Genomic DNA, 22,231 nt, shown 5'->3' on the forward strand with positions numbered 1-22,231 from the left:
TAAATAAATTTTAATATGTTCTTTTCAAGTTCATCAGCAGTCTAACTGACTATTCTTCTATGAAAACGTATAAGCACAAAAGTTAAAAATAATCCAAGTGCACTTTAAAATATTCCTTTTCATCTATGATTAGGTTATCCAATATATTTTATTTGCCTTATGTTGCTTATGGAAGAAACAATTGACACTACTTCTGCACAGTAATGGTTTCTGAATATATCTAATGGTTTAGGAATATAATCTGTACTAGATGTCTATGATGGTAGAGTTATTTGCACAATTCATGAATACTGAAGAAAAAAATCACAAGAAAAACGTGAAATTTTGTGCACCTGTAAAAACATGTTTGTATGCACCATATAAACTCATCAGTATTACGTTTTGACCTAATATATAACTGGTTTATTAAATAAACTGATTACAAATGCCCTCACATTTTAGGATAAGCTAAAATGTTGATGGGAGGATGACTTTTGGACCAAGACTGGGGACTCCAGGTCTCTCTTCTCATAGACTGAATGACTTTGGGTTTCTTTCATATTTTTGTAAATAGGGACCTAACTGGTTGGGTGGCCAGATATGTGCAAACATGTCTATATCAGGCACAGTCAGGTAAAAGATGGCACTTTCCTAGTGAATAATTTGAAAAGAGCTTAATAAGGGACAGCTGACAAAATTCTGCATAGGGTGTAGTAAAACCAAGCAGTGATGCAGAAACTCAGAAGAAGATCAGGTCTGAAGGGAATAAAGGTAACCAGAATCCAGAAATGTCCTTGTCAAGATATGTGACTCAGGGGTACAGCCAGACTTACAGAAAATACGCAAGATAAATCAATATTCTTTCTCTAGTTCCCACTACCTGATCCAATCTGGAAGACAGAGAACAAAAGAACACACGGATGTAGTCTATATGGATAAGTCAGCTGTGCACAGATCATTGCAAAGAAAAGTAGACAGCGCATCTGGTTTTATTAATTCAAATCCTCACTCTGGTAACTCCCCCGTCAGGCTCCATACATCACATTATTACCCTCCACCTGCCCTCCAGTTAATATTTTATAACAGTAGGATAATTTCAGTAGAAACTGACATATGACTCCCATTTTATTTTTATAACTTTATTAGGGTTATCCTTACAAAATTGAATGAAAATTTTTAATGTATATACTATGTCAAAATACAAATAATAAAATTAATTTTCTAATATGCAATTTATCACTAGATTTAGTGAAACACTATACCTTTCAATGATTTTCAAACTTGGAAACATATATGATGCCAGTTAGATAAGGAACAGTATGTACCCCATTAGAAACAATATTGCATAAGTCACTGATTTTTATGCTGCACTTACTAGATCAAAAAAACTCCTGGGTCAGGAAGAAGTTGAATCCAATGGTCACATTATTGCAGAATTTGGTACACAGTATGTTTTTTCACAGAGTTTCAACCATTAATTCACTTGGCTGTAAATTACCAGGCATTCAGCCTATTAAAGAAAAGCTGACTGAATCTTACCGTGTGCTGCAGCATGGTTATTTGCCAACATAGTCTAAGTCACACTTTCTATTCATGTGCTGCTCCACAGAACAGCTCAGAAATGTCAGGAATGTTACTGAGCTGCCAATATGTCAAATGCATGGTAGAAAGTACATGGTGGAAAGCTTTCCCTTTTGTTTTCTTGATTACATTAGTGTATTCTGAGCTCCTTTGTGGCTCCAGATGGGCACCACTTGAAGAAGTGCTTTTCTTTTTGTAAAATATTGCCATGCCATTATGACAGGGAAATATCCATTGTTGTAGTACATTCTGTTTTACTACAATATTATTAACCCAAACCCTTGAGGATTCAGTCTTGTGTTTCAAAAATCGGAAATAGCCACAGGCTTTGAAATTTCTTGAATAATTCTCAGTCTGAAGTTGAGAATAGGAGACTTTTCCTTTAGTAATTCAAACCAAGTATCTACTGGCCAACCTCCTTTCCCTATTTCTAAATATCCAGAAGCAAATAAAGATAGGAGTTCAATAATCAGGGAGCTAAAACTAAGCATGCAGATTCTACCCTTTTTTATTTTTTTGAGACAGAGTCTCTCTGTTGCCCAGGTTGGAGTGCAGTGGCACGATCTCTGCTCACTGCAACCTCCACCTACCAGGTTCAAGTGATTCCCCCACCTCAGCCTCCCCAGTAGCTGGGACTACAGACATAAGCCACCACACCTGGCTAATTTTCGCATATTTAATGGAGACAGGGTCTTGCCATATTGGTCAGGCTGGTCAAACTCCTGACCTCAAGTGAACCCCCTGCCTCAACATCCCAAGGTGCTGGGATTACAGGTGTGAGCTACCATACCCAGTCAAATTCTACCCTCACATTTCTGTACTGAAGAAGAAAATACGCTACTTTTTGGCACTCAAGGACAGAAAAGACATTGGAGGTGCAGAATATGAGGCAATGAGTCTAAGAAGCCATGTGTTGTAGGAGAAATCTCAATGAGTAAGAATAAAGACACCTGAGTTCTGCTCTTAATTCTGTCCTACAATGCCAACTAAATCTTTTAGCTTTGGAAACCTTATCGAAAATTGAGGATAATAGCAGTTCCCTGCTCTAGTTTATTGGATTATACTGAGAATCAAGGGAGATTGTATTATGACATTGGAAAATGCTACAGAAATAGTAAAGTTCTGTACAAATACAACATAAATAAAAATAGCAGAAATAAATTGTTATATGAAAATGTACATGGACATAAAAATACTATTGACACACACACACACACACACACACACACACACACACACACACACACGATTCCCAACAAAGCCTTTCTATACAGAATAATCAAGGCTTACGGAATCAATCATTTGTGAAGGCAAAATATGATGAAAGTAATTAATATAAACTTTTATTACCATATTGACCAAAATGTATTTCATGGAAATTCTTTTAACAGGCTATTTATAAGTGTTAGGTTAAAGGAAGGAAGAGTGGAAGGATGGAGGGTGAGAGGGAGAGACAAAAAAAGGGAGATTCCATTGTCAAATAAAATAAATTTGGAGACTAAATTTAAACTGGTAAGATTTTTCAAACTTTAATATCCTGATATTTAACCTCATCATTACAAAAAGTGGGGTATAGAGAAGGCAGAGTTTCCAAAATTTTATGTCAGTTGAAACTGCTGGAACATACTTTGAAAAATGCTGTTATAGAGGGATTTGCTTAATCAAGTAATTCTGGAAAGCAGCCAAATCCTAAACAGTGAAGTTAGCAAGTTCCTTGATGCACACAGAAGATCAATCAAAGTAAACACCGAAAAGAATAACCATGGCTAACGTTTGTTCAGTAATTCACAGATAATAAAACATTCTCACATAATTATCTCTTCTGATTCTCCACCCATTTTTGATAAATAAGTATTATATCCACGTGTGCAGATAAAGAAGCAAATGCTATTGGAGTTTTAGTGTCTAAAATTACAAAGCTGTTGGCAGAACATTAGTCTCAAATGTAAAATGTCCAATCCATCGCGTTTCCGTTATAACCTGCTGCTTTACTGTTGAAAAAAGGAAGAGGTCTTATTCTTCTTATAAGGTTACTAGTCCTAGATTAAAGGCCCCACCCTCACCACTTCATACAACCTTCATTACTTCCCAGTGGCCTTATCTCCAAATATTCTCACATCGGAGGTTAGGGCTTCAACATAGGAATTTTGGTGAGGAGACACAAACATCAAATCGATAACAATATCATTTTATACAGTTGAAGACAGGCTTGAGGCATAAATCATAGCTCACCGACTTGTGGTAAGGAGGGGGTAGATAGTGGAAGCAGCATGCCAATTAAATAGATTAGTGGCATCATTGTAGATCGAAATGATTTTATCAAGGTCCACCAGTTCAGATTGGCATGCTGTCTAAGGCCTTACACTTTAGCCTTACACAGAATGCCCTTACGTACTTGCCAGGCTGCAGATCTATGTCAGTCATTCCATTCCAGTTCCTGGATGAAGAACTAAAACTGCATACTCTATGTGGTCACACACAGTATTGGTGACCACCTAACACCTAATGGAGTATGGTTTTATATCTGAAGGTCATGGGGTATAGCTTTTGACAACTTATTTGTCCTCTGTGATTTTATCCTTGATCACAGTTACTCATTTCCTTGGAGCGGGGAAAGGACCTTGAAACTTAATAAGGACAGAAATCTCCAAGTACCTTCAAAATTATCTGGGTATCTGAATGATTGTATAGGGCTTTCAATTATCTTGATGCATGCGTGTATTGAGTTCTGCTAAGTGATTAAGGTGTCCTCTGTTCTAGCTGAATCCACTTCCAAGGAAAGGGGCTGTTAAGCTGTGTAGAGTGGCAATTGGCCAAATTTTAGGAACAACTCCCTGGCCACGGCTGTGAGTGTCCTGGAATATGTAAAGTCCTAGGTTCTCTTACCACTTAATCCAGCAATTTGAAGCTGTGAGGTAGAATGAGTTTGGGACTACCCTGTTAGGCACTGGCCTCAGGGTTTCTGGACAAGTGGTAATTCCTAAAAACTTGAGTGAAATGGAGTAATCGTTTGAGCATTGCTTGCTCTTTTGGTAGGCAGTTCAACAGAGGACTGGGATGTTTGAGGTGAGATATTTATAGATGGGACCTGAGCCTGAGATTGGAAAGGATGAGGGGGTTGGTGGCTCTTGGCATGGGTAAACTGAATGCCAAATCTAGGACTTGATAGATGCTAATTTGGGGAAGCAAAAACAACTAAAAAATGTCCATCTGTGAGATAAAAGTAAAGTATATAATCCGTAGGGTCTAGCCCTACAGGGCCTGTGGGTTTTTCTCTTCATGTGCGGAGACAAGAGATCGTAGAAATAAAGACACAAGACAAAGAGATAGAAGAAAAGACAGCTGGGTCTAGGGGACCACTACCACCAAGGCGCGGAGACCAGTAGTGGCCCCGAATGGCTGACCGCACTGCTATTTATGTATACAAGGCAAAAGGGGCAGGGTAAGCAGTGTGAGTCATCTCCAACGATTGATAAGGTCACGTGAGTCACGTGTCCACCGGACAGGGGGCCTTTCCCTTTTAGGTAGCTGAGGTGGGGAGAGGACAGCTTACGTCATTATTTCTTCTACACTCTTCTCAGAAAGATCAAAGACTTTAACACTTTCACTAATTCTGCCACTGCTATCTAGAAGGCGGAGCCAGGTGTATAGAGCGGAACGTGAAAGTGAAACAGGAGTGTGACCGCTGAAGCACAGCATCACAGGGAGACATTTAGGCCTCCAGATGGCTGCAGGCAGGCTTGACTGATGTCAGGCCTTCCACAAGAGGTGGTGGAGCAGAGTCTTATCTAACTCCCCCGGGGAAAGGGAGACTCCCTTCCCCCGTCTGCTAAATAAGGGGTGCCTTCCCAGGCACTGGCGCTACCGCTGGACCAAGGTCCTCTAGGCAACTGGCACCTTCCCAGGCACTGGCGTTACCGCTAGACCAAGGAGCCCTCTAGTGGCCCTGTCTGGGCGTGACAGAGGGCTCATACTCTTGCCTTCTGGTCACTTCTCACCGTGTCCCTTCAGCTCCTATCTCTGTATGGTCTGGTTTTTCCTAGGTTATAATTGTAGAACAGAGGTTATTATAATATTGGAATAAAGAGTAATGCTACAAATTAATGATTAATAATATTCATATGTAATCATATCTATATTCTATTTCTAGTATAACTATTCTTATTCTATATATTTTCTTTATGATACTGGAACAGCTTGTGCCCTCGGTCTCTTACCTTGGCACCTGGGTGGCTTGCTGCCCACAATAATCCAATATAAATACTATATGGTGGAGATATATATATATATATATATATATATATAGTTTTTATTTTTTCAGAGGTATGTCACCTTCTGAGGGGGAAGAAATAGGCCGCAGGGTAGGCAATTTTATCCAATTTGAGTGAATCATTATACTTCTTCACTACCGGTTACTGACCCATGAAGGATGACTGCTAATTCATATGTTGTCTTTCTTTGCATTAATTTTGAAAATAGAATCACTTTCTAAAAATACATAATTTCCAACTATCAGAAAATTATCATAATATACATATTTTGAGAGAATAACTCATTTCACGGACATCTGCTGGAAAATCATAGTAATAAATATACACACCCATGACTTTTCTATAAGAATGGCACAAATGTAATAGTAGCTTTGTACTCTACAACCCCATCCAAATCACAGTGATTGGCTGTAGTGTGTGTCCATGATCTAAGCCAGATCTATAAAAATTTTCTCCTGGGAGCTTGCTGTGATGACCATCCTTTTCTAGTTGTAAAGTTGTGAAAATGTGAGCCTGAACTTACTAGTGATCAAGGTTCAATTTTGTGGAGAAAATGGTATACAGGCAAGAGGCCAATCCACAAAAGAGGAGTGGGAAATAGAGTCAGAAAGAAATAGTCCCAATGATTCTAGAATTTCTGCCTCCAATTCTACCTGAGGATATTTTTATCCTCACTTTTCTATGGTTCAACTATGAGACGATTTTTTCTGTTGAGTTGTGCAAAAGTTCAGATTTTGTCACATGGTTAAAAAGTCTTCCAATTAACATACATTGGATGTTCTCTTAGTCCATTTGGGCTGCTATAATAAAGTACCACAGACTAGATGGCTTATAAACAATACAAATTCATATCTCACAATTCTGGGGCCTGTGAATCCCAAGGTCAAAGCACTAACAGATTTCGTGTCTGGTGAGGTTCTGCCTCCTTTTAGAGACAGGTCTCACTATAGCCTCACATGATGGAAATGGGGAGGAAGCTCTCTGGCACCTCCTTTATGAGGACACTAATTCTCTTCATGTGGGCTTTGTCCTCATGAGTTAATAAATCCCAAAGGCCCCATCTTCTAATACCATTATCTTGGGAGATAGGATTTCAAATTAATTTTGGAGGGATAGTCAGACCATAGGAGAGGTCAAATAAAATGAACTCACTATAGTTAAGAATGAGGGCAGGAAGAGATACTCGGAGTAATCCCACTTTGTATTTATTAGAGTCATGTAGAGAATTATCTAGTGGTTCCTGCTGGGATTATGTCTAATTAAACCTAGTGGCACAACTACTCTTAGCACTGATTCTTGCTCAAGCATTTAAAAATATTTGTTGAATTAATTTCAAAACACACAGAGACAACTGTTTACTCATTCATTCATTTTGTTAAGTATTTATTGATCAGCCTTTTTGCAATAGACACAGTTCTAATTACTCAGGATATTGTGTTGAGTACTTGCATTTAAACTCCCAGATCTCATTTTTTAAAACCTATATACATCAACAGTACATAGCCATCATGCCAGAAGCAGTTGATACATTAAAAGGAGACATTCTCCAGAACAATAGAGACAATTTAATAAAATGTATGAGTGAACAAGGAGTTCTAGCTCTCAATTTATTGTTCCCTAGATGTGATATATTGGATATGCCATTTAGCCTACTAAGGCCTTAACATTTAAGTAGATGCTCTTTAGAGTTATACTTATTTAAGATTTATCTAGATGCTCTTTAAAGCTTATAACAAACAGAAATTTAACTAAATTATTTTTAAGGCTTATTCCAGGTAAAAAGAAACTTAAAGTTTTTATTTTAATCTCTCAAATTGGTGGTTTTCAAAGTGTGGTCCCCTACCAGCATCCTAGAAATTTGTTAAAATACACATTTTAGACCTCATCCTAGACATACTGAACTACAAACCTTGGGGCAGGGAGTATAGCAATCTTTTTTTTAAAGAAGTTCTGATGGGTACTAGGCTTTCTCAACCACTGCCTGGACATATAAAATATGTTTAATAGTAAATATATGTATGGAAAACGTTTCTAATTTTTCATAACTATATCATTGATATGGTTAGGCTTAGTGTCTCCACCCAAATCTCGTCTTGATTTGTAATCCCCATAATTCCCACGCGTCAAAGAAGAGACCAGGTGGAGGTAATTGAATCATGGGGGCAGTTTCCCCCATGCTGTTCTCATGACAGTGAGTGAGTCCTCATGAGATCTAATGGTTTTATAAGGGGCTTTTCCCCCTTCACTCCGCACTTCTCCTTCCTGCTACCTTGTGAAGAAGGTGCCTTGCTTCCCCTTCACCTTCCCCCATGATTGTAAGATTCCTAAGGCCTCCCCAGCTATGCTGAACTGTGAGACAAAATATTTTGGGAATATTCTTATGCTTTTTGTGAATTTAAAATTATGTCAGTGTCACAGAGTTTTTTCCTGTGGGTTAATTACTAGGGATCAACTGCAGTGGATTACACATACACACACACACACACACACACACACACACGCATACACATGAGAATACTGATAAAGGCTTGTAACTAAAGAAACAAAACCTAGATGATCTCCTGTAATTATCCAATTCTTCCTGTTACAAAACTCAGAAAATGATGAATAGAGAGACAGGGAGAATAAAATCCTGGGTTTGCAATCACTTCTATAAATGAGTAAGACTCTCCTTTATTTAGAAATGTATTATCCTGTCTAAGTTTATAAGTAATGTGGTTTGGTTGTGTACATTTGCAGCTAGCACTAGTACATTAACGAACTTACAGAAAGATTTACCAGAAATTTTATTAGGTGTCACTTTTGCTGTTTGGTCTCTATAACTGGAGTCTAAAACATCCTATATACTGATCTCTGAGAGAGTCTAGGATTACCCAAAGGAATGAAAGATTTTTCCATAGGGTAATACAAAAATAGGAAGTAAATACACTTGATTTATATTCATGGGCCCTTTTTATTCTGTCTTCTTCTCCTCAATATTTATAATTCCCTTTATAAAAGTTTCTTCTTTAGACATATTTTATGGAGATTTGCTTTAAGTGATCCTTAATGACTAGAAGATAGGGACAGACACCACTGCTGCAATCCTACCAGCTTTCTCAGTTTGGGCCTGGAAGCCAATTTTAACTTTTCCCTATTCAGTTAACTCTATATTGTATAAAGACATAGATAGATAGATGATAGTGATTATTTCAGAGTGAACTGTGATATGGGTGTGGGTGGTGTGTTTCTAAGCAATAATTATGATTTGATTTTAAGTCAGAATTATTTGTTTCAGTAGCAGCAGTGGATATCAGAGTATCAGAAGAGAACAGTTTTTTTTGTTTTGTTTTTGTGACGGAATCTCGCTCTGTCACCCAGACTGGAGTGCACTGGCACGATCTCAGCTCACTGCAAGCTCCACCTCCCGGGTTCAAGCAATTCTCTGCCTCAGCCTCCTGAGTAGCTGGGATTACAGGCTCCTGCCACCATGCCCAGCTAATTTTTGTATTTTTAATAGAGATGGGGTTTTGCCATCTTGGCCAGGGTGGTCTTGAACTCCTGACCTTGTGATCCACCCATCTCGGCCTCCCAGAGTGCTGGGATTACAGGCATGAGCCACTGTGCCTAGCCTGTTTTGTTTTTTTTTTTTTAATCTTTAGTGAATGAGATTCAGAGTAGCATGGACATCTTCTTATATTGTGGGAGGATTATTTTGTCACTGTGAGGGAAATCACAATTTCCTTTCCTCCTCTCCCATATCCTTGTCTAAAGTCACTTAACTTTGAGTTTGGCGGCTTTCTTACACACTTGCCTACTATTAAGAGTCAAAAATAATTCCAATCTAGAAGAATAGTACTTTCTCTTTTCCCCTACCATTAGCTTTTGCTAGTTTTGACAATTTTGGGGAGTCTGTAAACCTGATATAATTATTTTAATGTTATATTTTTTATAAAATAAAGAATTTGAGGAGAAAAAGGATGTTTTAAAAATCTAATTCTCCCTACCTCAGAGAACTCAAGCATATTACTTATTTCACACTTTTAATCATTTCTTCTCTTTTTCTTTTCTCCAGTTTGCATGCTGCAGACTTGTTCTTATAATCTCTTCTTAAGTCTTTCCAGCAGCATCTGCTTTTCACCTTTTCTCATTTCTTCCCCTGATTTTTCAATGCAGTTTTCAATGGTTTTCTTTTGACACCACTTTCAAATTTCAATTTTTTCTTCTGTTCTCTTTCTTCCTCTATATTCCACATATGACTTCCAAAGGTTTTGTAAAGATGAATTGTCCAGGATTAAGAGAGTGATTGATTAAGAGCCTACAGAACTGGGAAGAGGAGAGCTGCCAAGCTTTTCTTTATGTGTAGCACAGTGGAGCTACCCAGAGTGTGAGAAGCAAGAAACAGAGAGCCTTGCTAAGGCACGACGAAAAGGGGAAGCCTATTAAAAGAATGATCTGGAGGAGTGTGCAGTGAAGAAAATAAAGTAGAGCCAGCCTGCTGGGTCAGTAGCTAATAGCCCATGGGTTTACAACTAAGGAAGTTAAAATTCTAGCTAATGAGAATTGTAGACACCTACTGAGAGTGAACCGAAGGCTTCCTATTAACTTCCCTTCTTGGGTCTTTTTGACAGAACAGTCAGAAAGTTGTTTCCTATTTGTTTAGTAGCAAAAGAGTTGAAATGGAGGTTTAAAAAATGATGAAAGAGAAGTTGGAGGCAATCTCTTACTCAGCTCCTTCACGAGGTCCAAATACGATGTCTCCCCCACTCCACTCAAAATGTAAATCAGCATAGGTCACAAAAAGAGGAAGGACAGTTAAAAAAAAAAAAAAGAGTTGGGCCAAATAAGACATACAGCCAAGATGACTGAGACAATCAGAGAGGATTTGGGGTGTGGGGACTTCAAATTAATAAATCCGGTATTAGCTTTGTGGAATTAGCAGGATTAGGGTACCTCTTTCAAGAACACTGGTTGAATTTCATGGTTTCAATAGATGACCATTAGCTGTTATGTGCACCCCCCCCCCCCTTTTTTCTTGCAGAAGTTAAGAAGTCTGCTTAACTCGCAGGTCACCAAGAGATTGATTAAAGGCCTCTGGACATCATTTGGGTTTGGATAAATCTGTAGGGCCACTTTACAGACTGTCTCCAACTCCTGATCCCACTGTGGTTCTTTCTGAATTGATCCAGGTCCCTGCTAGCAAGTGAAGCAGAAAGAATCCAGGCTAGTTGTGAGATGACATACAGCAAGCAGGCTGAGATGATGGGGACATTTCAGAACCAAGAGGAGGGGGCGGGCAGGACACGGACTTGTCTCCCCCACCTTGATGCCAAGGTGGCATCTGGGAGATATCTCGAAGGGCAACGTCGAGGGGACTGCAAGCGTCAACCCTGGCGCGGCAGCACGGCGCCCCTCTCCGCGGGCGGGGAGCGAGCGCGTGTGCGCGAGAGCGCCGGGCGGCGGCGGGAGGAGGCGCAGGCGCGCTGCTCGCCCGTCTGCAGCCCCGAGCCGAGCGCCGCGTCTCGGGAGTTGATGGCAGCACCACTGTGCGGCCGCCCGGCCGAGCGCGGAGCGCAGCCACTCGCCGCTGCCCAGGGAGCGCCCAAGATGTGGGGGGACCGGGGCGGCAGCGGCCGTAGCAGCGCCAGGGACGGGGGCACGCAGCAGCCTCCGCTCGCCCGCCTGTCCTGACCTGCCTCGCTTGCCCCCAAAGAATGTCAGCCAAGTCCAAGGGGAACCCCTCCTCGTCCTGTCCAGCCGAGGGACCGCCGGCAGCCTCCAAAACCAAGGTGAAGGAACAGATCAAGATCATCGTGGAGGATTTGGAATTAGTCCTGGGCGACCTGAAGGACGTGGCCAAGGAACTTAAGGAGGTGAGAGGCGCAGGGGTGGGGAGGGAGTTCGGCACCCTTCGACCCCTCCGGGGTCCCCTTTCCGATTTTCAGCAGGGACAGCCAGATTTCCAAACTCCTGGGAAACTACAGAAAAGGCGCCTGCAGACGGACTTTCTTTGCTCCTGGAGTCCTGAGAGGAGTTGTTGTTGCACTTTTTAATTTTTTTTTTTAATCAGGAAGAAATCAACTAGTGTTTTAATCGATGGACCTGGGCTGGTGGGAGGGATGAACGCACGCGTGTCTCTGAATCTGTGTGTGTGACGACGGGGGAGAGGGTTAGCTGGGGGTGTGTCGGCAGAGGAAGTCGTGAGCAGCCCGGCTGGAGCGTGCAAGATGCTCCTCTCCTGCCCTATTGCTTCCCCAGAGTCCTTTGGCAAGTCCGCTGCCTATCTGTCAGCCTCCCCAAGTCAGGGCTGAAGAGGGGCCGGGTTCTGGGCCCTGGGCCAGATCAGGGAGGGCAGCCTGGAGGAAGCTTGGCTCAGACTACCCTCCCTGTCTCTCGAGCCTCGCTGTAGGGAAGGCGACCCGGGCTGCTGGCAGCCTTGGGGCTAAGGAGGGGGTCTGGGACTTTCTCACTTTCTCAGTTTCTGAAGCATCCCCTGCTCTCCTCCGAACGTCGTTACCAGTAACTCTGGGCCTTCCCGCCACCCTACCTCTGCTTCCTTCCTTCCACCCTGTCGCCACTTGGCATTGAACCCGAGAAGCAGGACGCGCAGGAGAGTGTATGTGTGGCCGGGGTCTTGCCATTGGCGTCCTGGCTCTCTGCAGCTGGGACTGCTTCGGTTCTTCCCCGCTTTTCCTATCCCACTTCGGTTCAGCCCTACTCCCGCCCGCCCCTAGCCCCAGGTGATCCAGATGGAAAGAAGCAGAGAAGGTGTCAGGGCTGAGGCTGCGTAACTCAGGCGGCGGCTCCGGGCGGGGGCGGGGGCCGGGCTGGGAGGGGTGGGGTCTCCCGAGCCAGGCTGGCTGCCGGCGGCGTCGCGGAGCTGGTAGCAGAGTCCCAGCGCGCCGCTCACTACTGAATGGGGTCCTGGTGCGGTTCTCGGTGAGGGAGTCCGCAGCTCCGCTGCGTGAGAGCTAAGACTAGAACTTCGAAGGTGGCGGTGGCTGCAGCGGGAAAAGGGGTGGGGCGTAGTCTAGGTCCAAAATTGTAATCCTGTTTCTGAAGCCAACGGGGAGGAGACTGAGGGTTGTTTGGATGACTGGCCTCTAGAGATTAACCTCCTGTATTCAATTTCCAAACCAAATTTCAAGAGCCCCCTCGTCTTCCTCCCCTTCCCCCGTTACCTCTATGAACTGAACTCTGCATTTGTTACCTAATGCAAGTCTGTTAAAATGGGCCATTCGTCACCAGGGTTAAGTTTGCCAGTGGTAAATGTCGTTCCTGTAGGTTACTCCACAGACAGAACATAATTAGTACTGAGGTCCTGAGAGTGGCTGTTAGTATACATAGATTCAGGGATAAAACTTGTTCGTGTTTTCAGGGTTTCTGTAGGATTATTGCTTCACAACTGGTTGACAGATGGTGGGGTTATGCATTGAAATTCAATTCTAAAAATGCTGTCCCTTTCTTTGTTATTCTTTTATATGACATCTTTGGTAGACTGTGTTTTCATCTGAAACATGGCGTTTTAAAAAATGAAATTGGGCATGTTCCTTTCGGCAGAATTGTGCTTAATAGTTGGTGAGGTTTCTATGGGCGATGTGGAAAACCTACAGCGGCACAGAAACGTATTTACTGTTTTCATGAGGCTGAGACTAAAAGAAAGGTAGTTAAACAGAATTCTGCATCTGTGAGCCATACTTCCTTATGTTTTAATGTCAGTCCACTCACTTTTTTTGCACAGAATAAATGACAAGAAACTGCACATGGTCCTGGTTTTGCTTTGCATCATTATTTATGGACATTTAGAGATTAAGTAGTGAAATCTTCAACCTCCCTGTGGTTATTGGTTAGAATCACAAAAATGTAAGTCAGGAAATCTGTTGATACCACTTTCTGTGTCTTCATTACTGAAGATTTTTTAAGGTTAAAAAAAAGGTTGTTTATAAGAGGAATAAAAAGCAGAGATAATGTACAACCCAGTAGATGAAACTATCTGACAGATCTAGAGATACAATTTTGACTCAACATTTTGGAAGATTTGTTTGTCTTAAGGATCTGTTTGAGTAAAAATCTCACCATGAAACTGAAATTTATGACATAAATAATGTGATGTGATTGTTAATTACTTTTGTGTGGGTATCATCATCCTAGATTTGCACAAGAAAATGTACCTACAATGGCCAAATCCCAAAACATCGGCTATTCATAGAATATGAATGAAAATATTTTGAGAACAAAGTATTTATAGGGTATGTTTAACCTATGACATCTTGCAGTTGTCCAGCATGTATCTTTTTAGGATAATCCTGCATATGTGAGTGAACATGTCTTTGGTATAGTTTTGGATAAAGAAATAACAAAACTTTGTACATTACAAAGCTTGTTGGTTGCTGTACATGAATGTTGCTATTCATCATATTCAGTATTCTGGCAGCTTAAAATTAGTACGTGTTAAATATAAACTGCTATATTTAGAATTCTAATTCCTTTATTGGCAATGCTATGCTTTTAGACCATAATATATTTTAATATAAATTATCGGCGAGCTCTTCTTAACTTGCAACAGAAATTAAAAATAAAAAAGTAGTTATGACTATATCACTATGGCAGTCATCATATAGTATTTATTTTTTCTTTCTGCTTTTAAAAAATATCTAGTTAAAATGCAATCTTCTTTAATTCTGTTCTTTGTTTTTGTGTAATTTCTGCACCAACAATATTAAACTTTGGTTTGAGGTTACTCTGAAATTGCTTTTCTTCATAGAAGTTTTCTGGGCTTAAGTCATCTGAAAACTCAGGTAGTAGGATAGAATCAAACATAATAGTAATTGCTTGAAACACTTTAATAAGTAGTGACAAAACTCTAGTCTGCTCAGCAAGAAGAGTTGTTATTTTGGGTATCTGTTTTATGATTATTTAGTTATAATTACTTAATCAGTTATAATTGGATTATATATTAGAAGCAGAGGAACAGGCTTTCTAGAAAGTCAAAGAGCAGCCTTATTCTACTCTCAGAATTTAGTAAAATCTCAAATAATTTGACTTTTCAGAAATAATATGGGTCCTTTTGTTTTCTATGCTATTAATATATTGGAAAAGCCTTAAATATAATTCAGTATACTTATTGAGCACCTACCATGTTCCAAGTACTATAACACCTTTTAAATTGCTACCAAGATGAATAAGGCATAGTTTCTGGTCTCAGTGAGCTCCAAAGGTTAGTTAGGGATATATTTATCCTGTCTTCCAACATCAGCAGTATAAAAAGACATTGTGGCCTTTAGTGGCCACTCTCACTGCAGGCTTGGGGAAATCGAGAATTGAGAATGAGAGTGAGTATATGTTGATTTATAAAATGATGTGTGCTGCATACTTAGTAGTATGGCAAGTCTTTGATGAAGAAATAAGCTTAAAAAGATGAAAATATATGAATTTTAAGAAATTTACAGTTGACTTAGATTGTCATGGTTAACATAAATGGATCAATACCATATACAGGAGATTACATATTCAAATGTTGTAACTAAATACTGAAGATTTCCATGAAAGCTAAGTCTTTTGGAGAAATGGAGAGTTAAAAAGGAAGATTTTGAATTCTTCTTTTTCTTAATGTAAATAGGGTTTTAAGAGGTAGTCACAGGTAAAAGGAAATAGGTTTGGACTACAAGAGTAATCCATGTTGCATTTTTCTACACATTGAAAAAAAAGAAGAAAATAGTGGTGAAACTCTAGAGTTTTAGTGATAAAATTAACCATAACTGGTAGAGTAGGTGTGAGTGATACTTTTTCACTAAGAAATGTAGAAACAAAGCAATTGCTTTTTAAAATAGTTCTCAAATAATCTAATGCCTTTGAGTAGCAATATGCCTGTTCTTTTATGAAGATCTCACTGGTAAACTATTTTGCATTAAATGCTGGTATTAATATGGGATCACATATCTTATTGGTCAGAGTGACACTGGAATCTGTAATAATCAGCCTTTTATCTGGAAACAAAACTAATTGCAGCTTTAGCTGGATTCTCTTTTAGTTTAGACTTGTTATAACCTTGAGCTTTTCTTGTAGTGTTTATTTTTATGATTTCAAGTAACAAGGCTACTATATGAGTTGAAAAACATATGTAAATAATTTCTTGAGAGGCTTTCTGAATAGACATGACTCTAACAGAGAAACTAAAATAAAGTTGTTTTGTTGTTGCCTTAGAATCACTCAGTGACTGGATCTCCATTGGTGAGAAGTATGTCAGCATTGTTGCCATGGACTGGAAAGCACCCATAATTTGTCTTACAATGGCATAAACTGAAATAAATTTAAGTTGAATTTTGAACAATTTGAACCCCATAGGAAACAGTCTGATTTGAACTGATGAAAACAGAATTAACAATTATCTGAAAAATATTTTCACTTCTAAATGTTCCCTCTTTTAATGTCTTAACCACTTGATGTTCTATAGTTTATTGTCTGGAAATTCCTACCGAGTATTTTTTGGTTAATGAGCCCATGCATAAAAAATTCGTTACAAGAAAAAATTATAGAGAATAATCTCGGAACTATTTTCTTTTTGTTTGAGACAGTATCTTGCCCTGTCACTTAGGTTGTAGGGCAGTGTTAGAGATCTTGGCTCACTGCAGCCTCCATCTCTTAGGTTGAAGGAGTCTTACCACCTCAGCCTTCTGAGTAGCTGGGACTAGAGGCATGCGCCGCCATGCCTGGCTAATTTTTAATTTTTTTTTTTTTGATAGAGATGGTGTCTTGCCATATTCCCCAGGCTGATCTTGAACACCTGTCTTCAAGTCATCCTCCTGCTTAGGCCTCCCAAAGTGGTAGAATTATAGGTATGAGCCACCATGTCTGGCTTGAAGTATTTTCCAAGTTCTAAAGTTGTGTATAAATAGAATTTAGTAGTTCTTTTAATTGTAGCAATAGTCATACTTTTACTACTTTATACCACAGTCTACCTCCCCAAACTGTGGTATATTTACCAAATGCTAAAATGCTCTGAAATTTTTCTTTACTTAGGCATGATGGCCTAGCAGTTACCAAAAATAATTTTGAGAACATAGAGGTAGCCAATAATCATCCATCACTGTCTATTTCCAATGAATTAAAACATTCAACACTTAGAGAATTAGCTGATAAGAAATTCAAGCAGCCTTAAAGTAATAGATAGTGTGTTTCAGGCAACAGTGAAGTAATAGATAATAAAGCCAGTGTAATAGGTTTCATTATTACCTGGATTATGTTATTTTCATCCTTGCTTCTCTGAGGATCTCAGGTACTTAAATCTAAATGTAGGAAAAAAGATAGAAATGCAAGTTTGAGCAAAACATATTTTCCCAAACTATAGAACTTTTCTTCTGTAGAGATAGTTCTTGAAAAATTTCAGGGGCAATTTTAGAGATTTAGAGTAATAAAATTCCAGTAGGTCGCTGATTCAACTCTGATTGAAATATACATGACTGACATCAAGCTGCAAATACAAAGTTAACAAACAACAAAGGGCACTATTAAAAAAATCAAATTTATTTTTTCTGATGTTAGGAGCAGCACATGAATATTATAGAAAGTTTGCAAAAATCTAAAGAAATATAAAGGAGAAAACAAAAATTATCTTTAGTACCACATAAAAATAAGTATACTAAACATTTTGTCATATTTTCTTTTAGTCTTTTTGTATGCATATTTTAACATAGATGAAGTTATACAAAGTTATAAATTATAAGCAATGACATTTTCTACTTTCTTGAATGATATAGATCGTAACTATTACACAGATTTGCTATAAGTTACTTCATACTTCCCTTAATATTGGGTATTCTATTTATTTCCAGCTTTTCATGGTTATTAAACGTCACTAGAAAGAGCAGTTTTGGCAATATGAATATCTAACAGAGGTCTTACTCTCTGCCAGGTACTCTTCTCAGCGCATTTATTTATATTAAATTATCTAATTCTCAAAACAGGTAGATGAGGAAGTTACTGATATTGCCCATTTTACACATAAGAAATCTGAGGTCCGAGATAGTAAGTCATTTGCCCAACTCACTTGTCTTGTAAGTGGAGAAGTGAAGCTTCATTGCCAGGTAGCTTGGTGTCAAAGAACAGCATTAACCGCCAAGCTCTTTCACGTTTCCTATTTTTTTTTTAACATTTTCTTAGAAGTCAAGGATCTAAAAGCTTTAAAATTCTCAATTCATATTGCCAAACTGTCTTCCAGGGAGTTTTCACAAATTTTTGCTTGCAGCAGCAGCGTATGTATGGACACTGTTTCTTAAATTGGGAGTGAAGCTAATAAACCATTTCATTATTTCATTAAGGCTTGCTGTGTAGTTTATTATCTTCATGGTAACAGTCATTATTTTTGTAGGTTGCAGAAAACAGTATTGAGACAAAATTAATAGTGAATAAATTAGACCTTGCAATTTAAAATTTGCAAATAAAGATGTGCTGTGATTAATTACCTTTAACTTATTCAACAAAAATGTTGATAAGAATATTACATAGATTTTTAATATTCTGGCTGAGAAAATAAAGGAACAACTAATATGGAAGCTCGTTGATACTTAGCATTGTATATAATTGTTTCAAAGAATACAAATAATTTGGAATATATTATTCTCTTTTGTTGCTATCAAATTACCTTAGAAGAGAGGCACTATCCTTAAGTTTTCTGAGATGTTTGAGGTTTGACAGTTCTCTTGCTTTCTGCTATGACTGATGAATTAGAGAATCTTGTTGAATTCTTTACTAGGAACAACATTATTGAACTGGCTAATGATGTCATATGTATATATTATAATTCGATTTCTTGTATTAACTTTAGTGCTATCGATTATAAACCACCTCCTCTCTCCCACATATAAGGGTTATAAGAAATGGCCTTATTCTAAAATTGTTTGTTTTCTTTTCCAGTATGTTATGAATAGAAATGTTTTTATTGTATTAAAAGTTAGTTCATTAGGATAATTACTCTGAATTAAATTTCCCACAGGAACTGGGAACCCAAAGTCAGCAGAAATTCATCTTTAAACAAGAACCAGAAAGTAGCATTAACTGAAATGAGAAAATAAAGACATATCTAATATCCAAATCAAAGTAGACTCACAAGGTAGTCTGTCAACTCAGGACAAATGTTGTCTTGCTTATATGGGATAAGCTATTTATTTATTTAGAATGGAAAGACATGAGGATTCCAAAGAATTTAAACTCCCAGACCTCACTTTCAGGCAAGAAATATTAACACTGTTAGGACTGAATTTATATTCATCATCTTTGTTTTCTCTCTTTCTACTTTGCAAATGCTGCTTCAGATTGGTGTTTGAGATAAATGTTTACTTGTAGAATAATTGAAGTTAGGCAAATTACATACTTATGCTCAATGACACAGTTATCATGATGTTTGGGACACTATAAATAGATTTTCAACTACAGATAACATATGTTATCCTTGTCTGGAAAAAGAAAATTTGATGATTTCTGACAGGTTCTTTTTGTAGTACCACACAAATGTTAACAGATACATTGGTGTGCATTTTCCCCTTTCATAATATCACCTTATCTCAAGATTTCAAACTGTGTGTTTATATGAGAGAAAAATACTGGGTTAAACAATATCAGTCAAATCAATTGCCTTCTAGCATCAGTGGTTCTTAATAGTCTCCCTCCCCCCATATCACAAACCCCTTTGAAAAAAGGAAAAAAAGTTGGGATTATTTCTTCTGGAACAAAAGCTCACACAAACGTGGTTCCTGCACATGTTCAGGGAATCTTGGGTGGGTGGGAATGACTCAGGTAAAGAGACAAAACAAGTGGTTGATTGCCATTTTATTTTTTAGAAATTTTAGCTAATTGTTTGAGGTTTGGCTCCATAATTTTCAGAATTAAAAGTCCTGGCCCTACAAAAAGAAAAAAAAGAAATACTGATGGCTGTGGTTTGATGTTTTTTATGTAGGGGAAAAAAATGAGTGGCATATCAACAGTTTCTTTCTCTTAGGATGTGATGTCAGTGTGAAAATAGGTGGTATATTTATAATTCACGACTTTGCAAAAGCTGTAGAATGCTTGTGTGTCTGAAAGTTAACTCTTTCATTTTGTCGTTTCTTATGATGTTTGCCATAGTATATCAGTAAATAGATGGACAAAAAGTTTTCAGAACTCATTGTAAATTAAGCATATTCTCTTCTTAAAACTGATTGCAGATCAGCATTTTTATTTGTTTTATTTTTTTCTTATGTCACATTAACATGAATTATGAAAGACATATTGAATTCTTGATATGTGTAAGTCACTGTGCTGAAGAAAGTAAAAGATGCATATATGAATAAGCTTAGTGATCTGCCCTTGAAGTAACTATTTTCTGTTTACTTTTGATGACAGTGATAACACTGTAGGCTATTATGAATTGACATAACTTTGTAATTTTAAAGCCCAAATATCAGAGGTATATTTATGTTTATCCAATTATATATAGAATGAAGTATAAATTTGATTGCCTCTTTATTGCATAGCTCAATGTTTTTGATAAATATTTGGGGTTATCTTTTGTTTTAAAGAATAGGAGAATTTTTAGTCTGTGTTGCTCAGTAAGGTGGCATAGTATAGAAGGGTGAGAGCACAAACTCTGAAGCCAGTCTGCTTTTTTTCAAATTGCTCTGCTGTGCAATATTGAGCACATTATTTAATTTCTCTCTGTTTTCATTTTCTCCATAGTGTGGCGATAGTGACAGTGTTATGTGCAGTATAGGTTGGTTATGAAGATTAAATGAGTTCTTTGTAGAACGTTTAGAATGGTTCCTATGCATAAAGCAAGCATTGTATGTGTGTCTGTCATTAGTGTTATTATTTGAATTTGTCTGAGCCCCTTTATTCATTTATTCAACAAGTAGTGTTTAACACCTACTGTACACCAGGCACTGTTCTAGTTTCTAGGGATATAGTGGGGAACAAAACAGACAAAATTCCTTCATGGAGTTTACATAGTGGATGGGGAGGGTAGGGAGAAGATAGCTCAGTAAAATAAACACTAGTTTACATCAAATATTAGAAGGTGATTTATCTTATGAAGTAATAGAAGATTATAATGGGATGAATAGTGATGAGGAGGAAGTGCAATTTTAAATAGGATTGTTCAGAATAAGCCTCACTGAGAAAGTGGCATGGTGGCATTGGGGAAAATGCTTGAAGGTGAAGGAGCAAGCAGTAAGGAAATCTAGGGGAGCATTTTCCCAAGTAGGGAATAGCAGCCCAAGGGCCTTATAGTGGACAAGTTTCCCATGCATTTGCAGCAGAACAAGGGCCCAGGGTGGCAGGAGTGGACGAGCAGGGCAAGAGTAGCAGTGATAAGGTCAGATAGATATGGGGGACATGTCTAAGGATTTTGATTCTTCCTTAGAGTAAAATGGGACTTCTGAGCAGGGAGGTGACTAAATCTGCTATACTTTCATCTTTTTACCTTTAATCACTGGCTCAGGGTTTCTCAAACTCTGCACTATTGACATATTGAGTGGATAATTCTTTGTTGGGGGGATTGTCCTGTGCATTGTAGGATGGTTGGCAGCATCTACAACTAGATGCCAGTAGCAACCAAAATGTTAATGTGACAATGGAAAATGTTTCTAGATGATGCCACATGTCCTCTTCCTACTTTGCAATAGTAGAACTAGGAACCCAAAGGACTACTTTGAGAACTACTGCTCTTGCTCTTCCATCTTATTCCATATTACTTAATATTGTTTTTGCTACCTACCTTTTTCTTTCTTTATGCTTAGCCATCAAACATTCAGACTTCATGTCTCTTTTGTGTCTTGTATTTGCTATCTTTTTTTTAAAAAAAAAACCCATTATCTGTATTTTTCTTTACATTTACCTCATTCTTTTTCCCTTAATTCAACCTACTTTAAAAATATGCCTTCCAATTTCCATCCACCACTTCCATTTTTTTGCTTTCCATTTTGTTTTCACAATGAAATAAAAGTTAAATTGGTATTTTTTAAGGGATTTGGGTAAATATGTGTGTTTTAGGATTTGGGAGAAAAAAAGGAGAAACTCAGAAAGAATGAAGGGAGCAGTTGAGGCTGAGCTGCTTGTCTTCTTGCCAGTTAGTTTGTGAGTGAGATCAGAGGCAACCTTGACTAGTGGAAGGACTTTTGTCTCATCCATCAATTAGTCTTATGCTGCTTCTGCCATTTTCATTTCTGTAGACAGAAGAGAATTTAGAATGGTTTCACTGCTGTCTAGTGGGGGACAAATTATAGATGATGATGATGACGATGATGATGATACAGATGACTGACAACTGTTAACTTCTCACTATGTGCCAGGGACTATTGTGAGTTAACTCACTTAATCCTCATAGCCACCCTTTGAGGTACCTATAATTATTCTATAGATGAAGAAGCACAGACAGAGAGGTTAATTAAGAG

The 22,231-nt window shown here is 38.4% G+C and overlaps 1 protein-coding gene across 5 annotated transcripts in view, besides 3 other annotated features; it reads left to right on the forward strand.

Moving 5' to 3' along the window:
- Positions 4,898 to 5,467: an enhancer, noted in NCBI's record as "active region_22992". NCBI's record gives its function as "activates an Ori minimal core promoter by ATAC-STARR-seq in GM12878 lymphoblastoid cells {active_cell/tissue: GM12878}" and the evidence as "EXISTENCE:reporter gene assay evidence [ECO:0000049][PMID:35858748]".
- Positions 11,257 to 11,306: a silencer, noted in NCBI's record as "silent region_16267". NCBI's record gives its function as "represses an Ori minimal core promoter by ATAC-STARR-seq in GM12878 lymphoblastoid cells {active_cell/tissue: GM12878}" and the evidence as "EXISTENCE:reporter gene assay evidence [ECO:0000049][PMID:35858748]".
- PRR16 (proline rich 16) overlaps positions 11,316 to 22,231 on the forward strand; it is a 330,317-nt gene continuing 319,401 nt past the window's right edge. For 2 of the 5 annotated variants that reach the window (NM_016644.3, NM_001300783.2), the window contains exon 1: positions 11,338 to 11,683. Coding sequence is in view for 2 of the 5 variants with exons in the window: in NM_001300783.2 (NP_001287712.1) it covers positions 11,525 to 11,683 (159 nt within the window). In the remaining 3 variants the exon portion in view is untranslated. Of the gene's footprint in view, positions 11,684 to 12,663; positions 12,750 to 22,231 lie in introns of those variants that run through there. The other 3 variants (XM_047417289.1, NM_001308087.2, XM_047417292.1) reach the window with 3 other exon arrangements.
- Positions 11,712 to 12,213: an enhancer, noted in NCBI's record as "H3K4me1 hESC enhancer chr5:119800369-119800870 (GRCh37/hg19 assembly coordinates)". NCBI's record gives its function as "activates a minimal SCP1, AML or CMV promoter by ChIP-STARR-seq in naive H9 embryonic stem cells {active_cell/tissue: H9 hESC(naive)}" and the evidence as "EXISTENCE:reporter gene assay evidence [ECO:0000049][PMID:30033119]".

This window comes from Homo sapiens, chromosome 5 (assembly GCF_000001405.40).
Source record: "Homo sapiens chromosome 5, GRCh38.p14 Primary Assembly".
NCBI classification, from domain to species: Eukaryota; Metazoa; Chordata; class Mammalia; order Primates; family Hominidae; genus Homo; species Homo sapiens.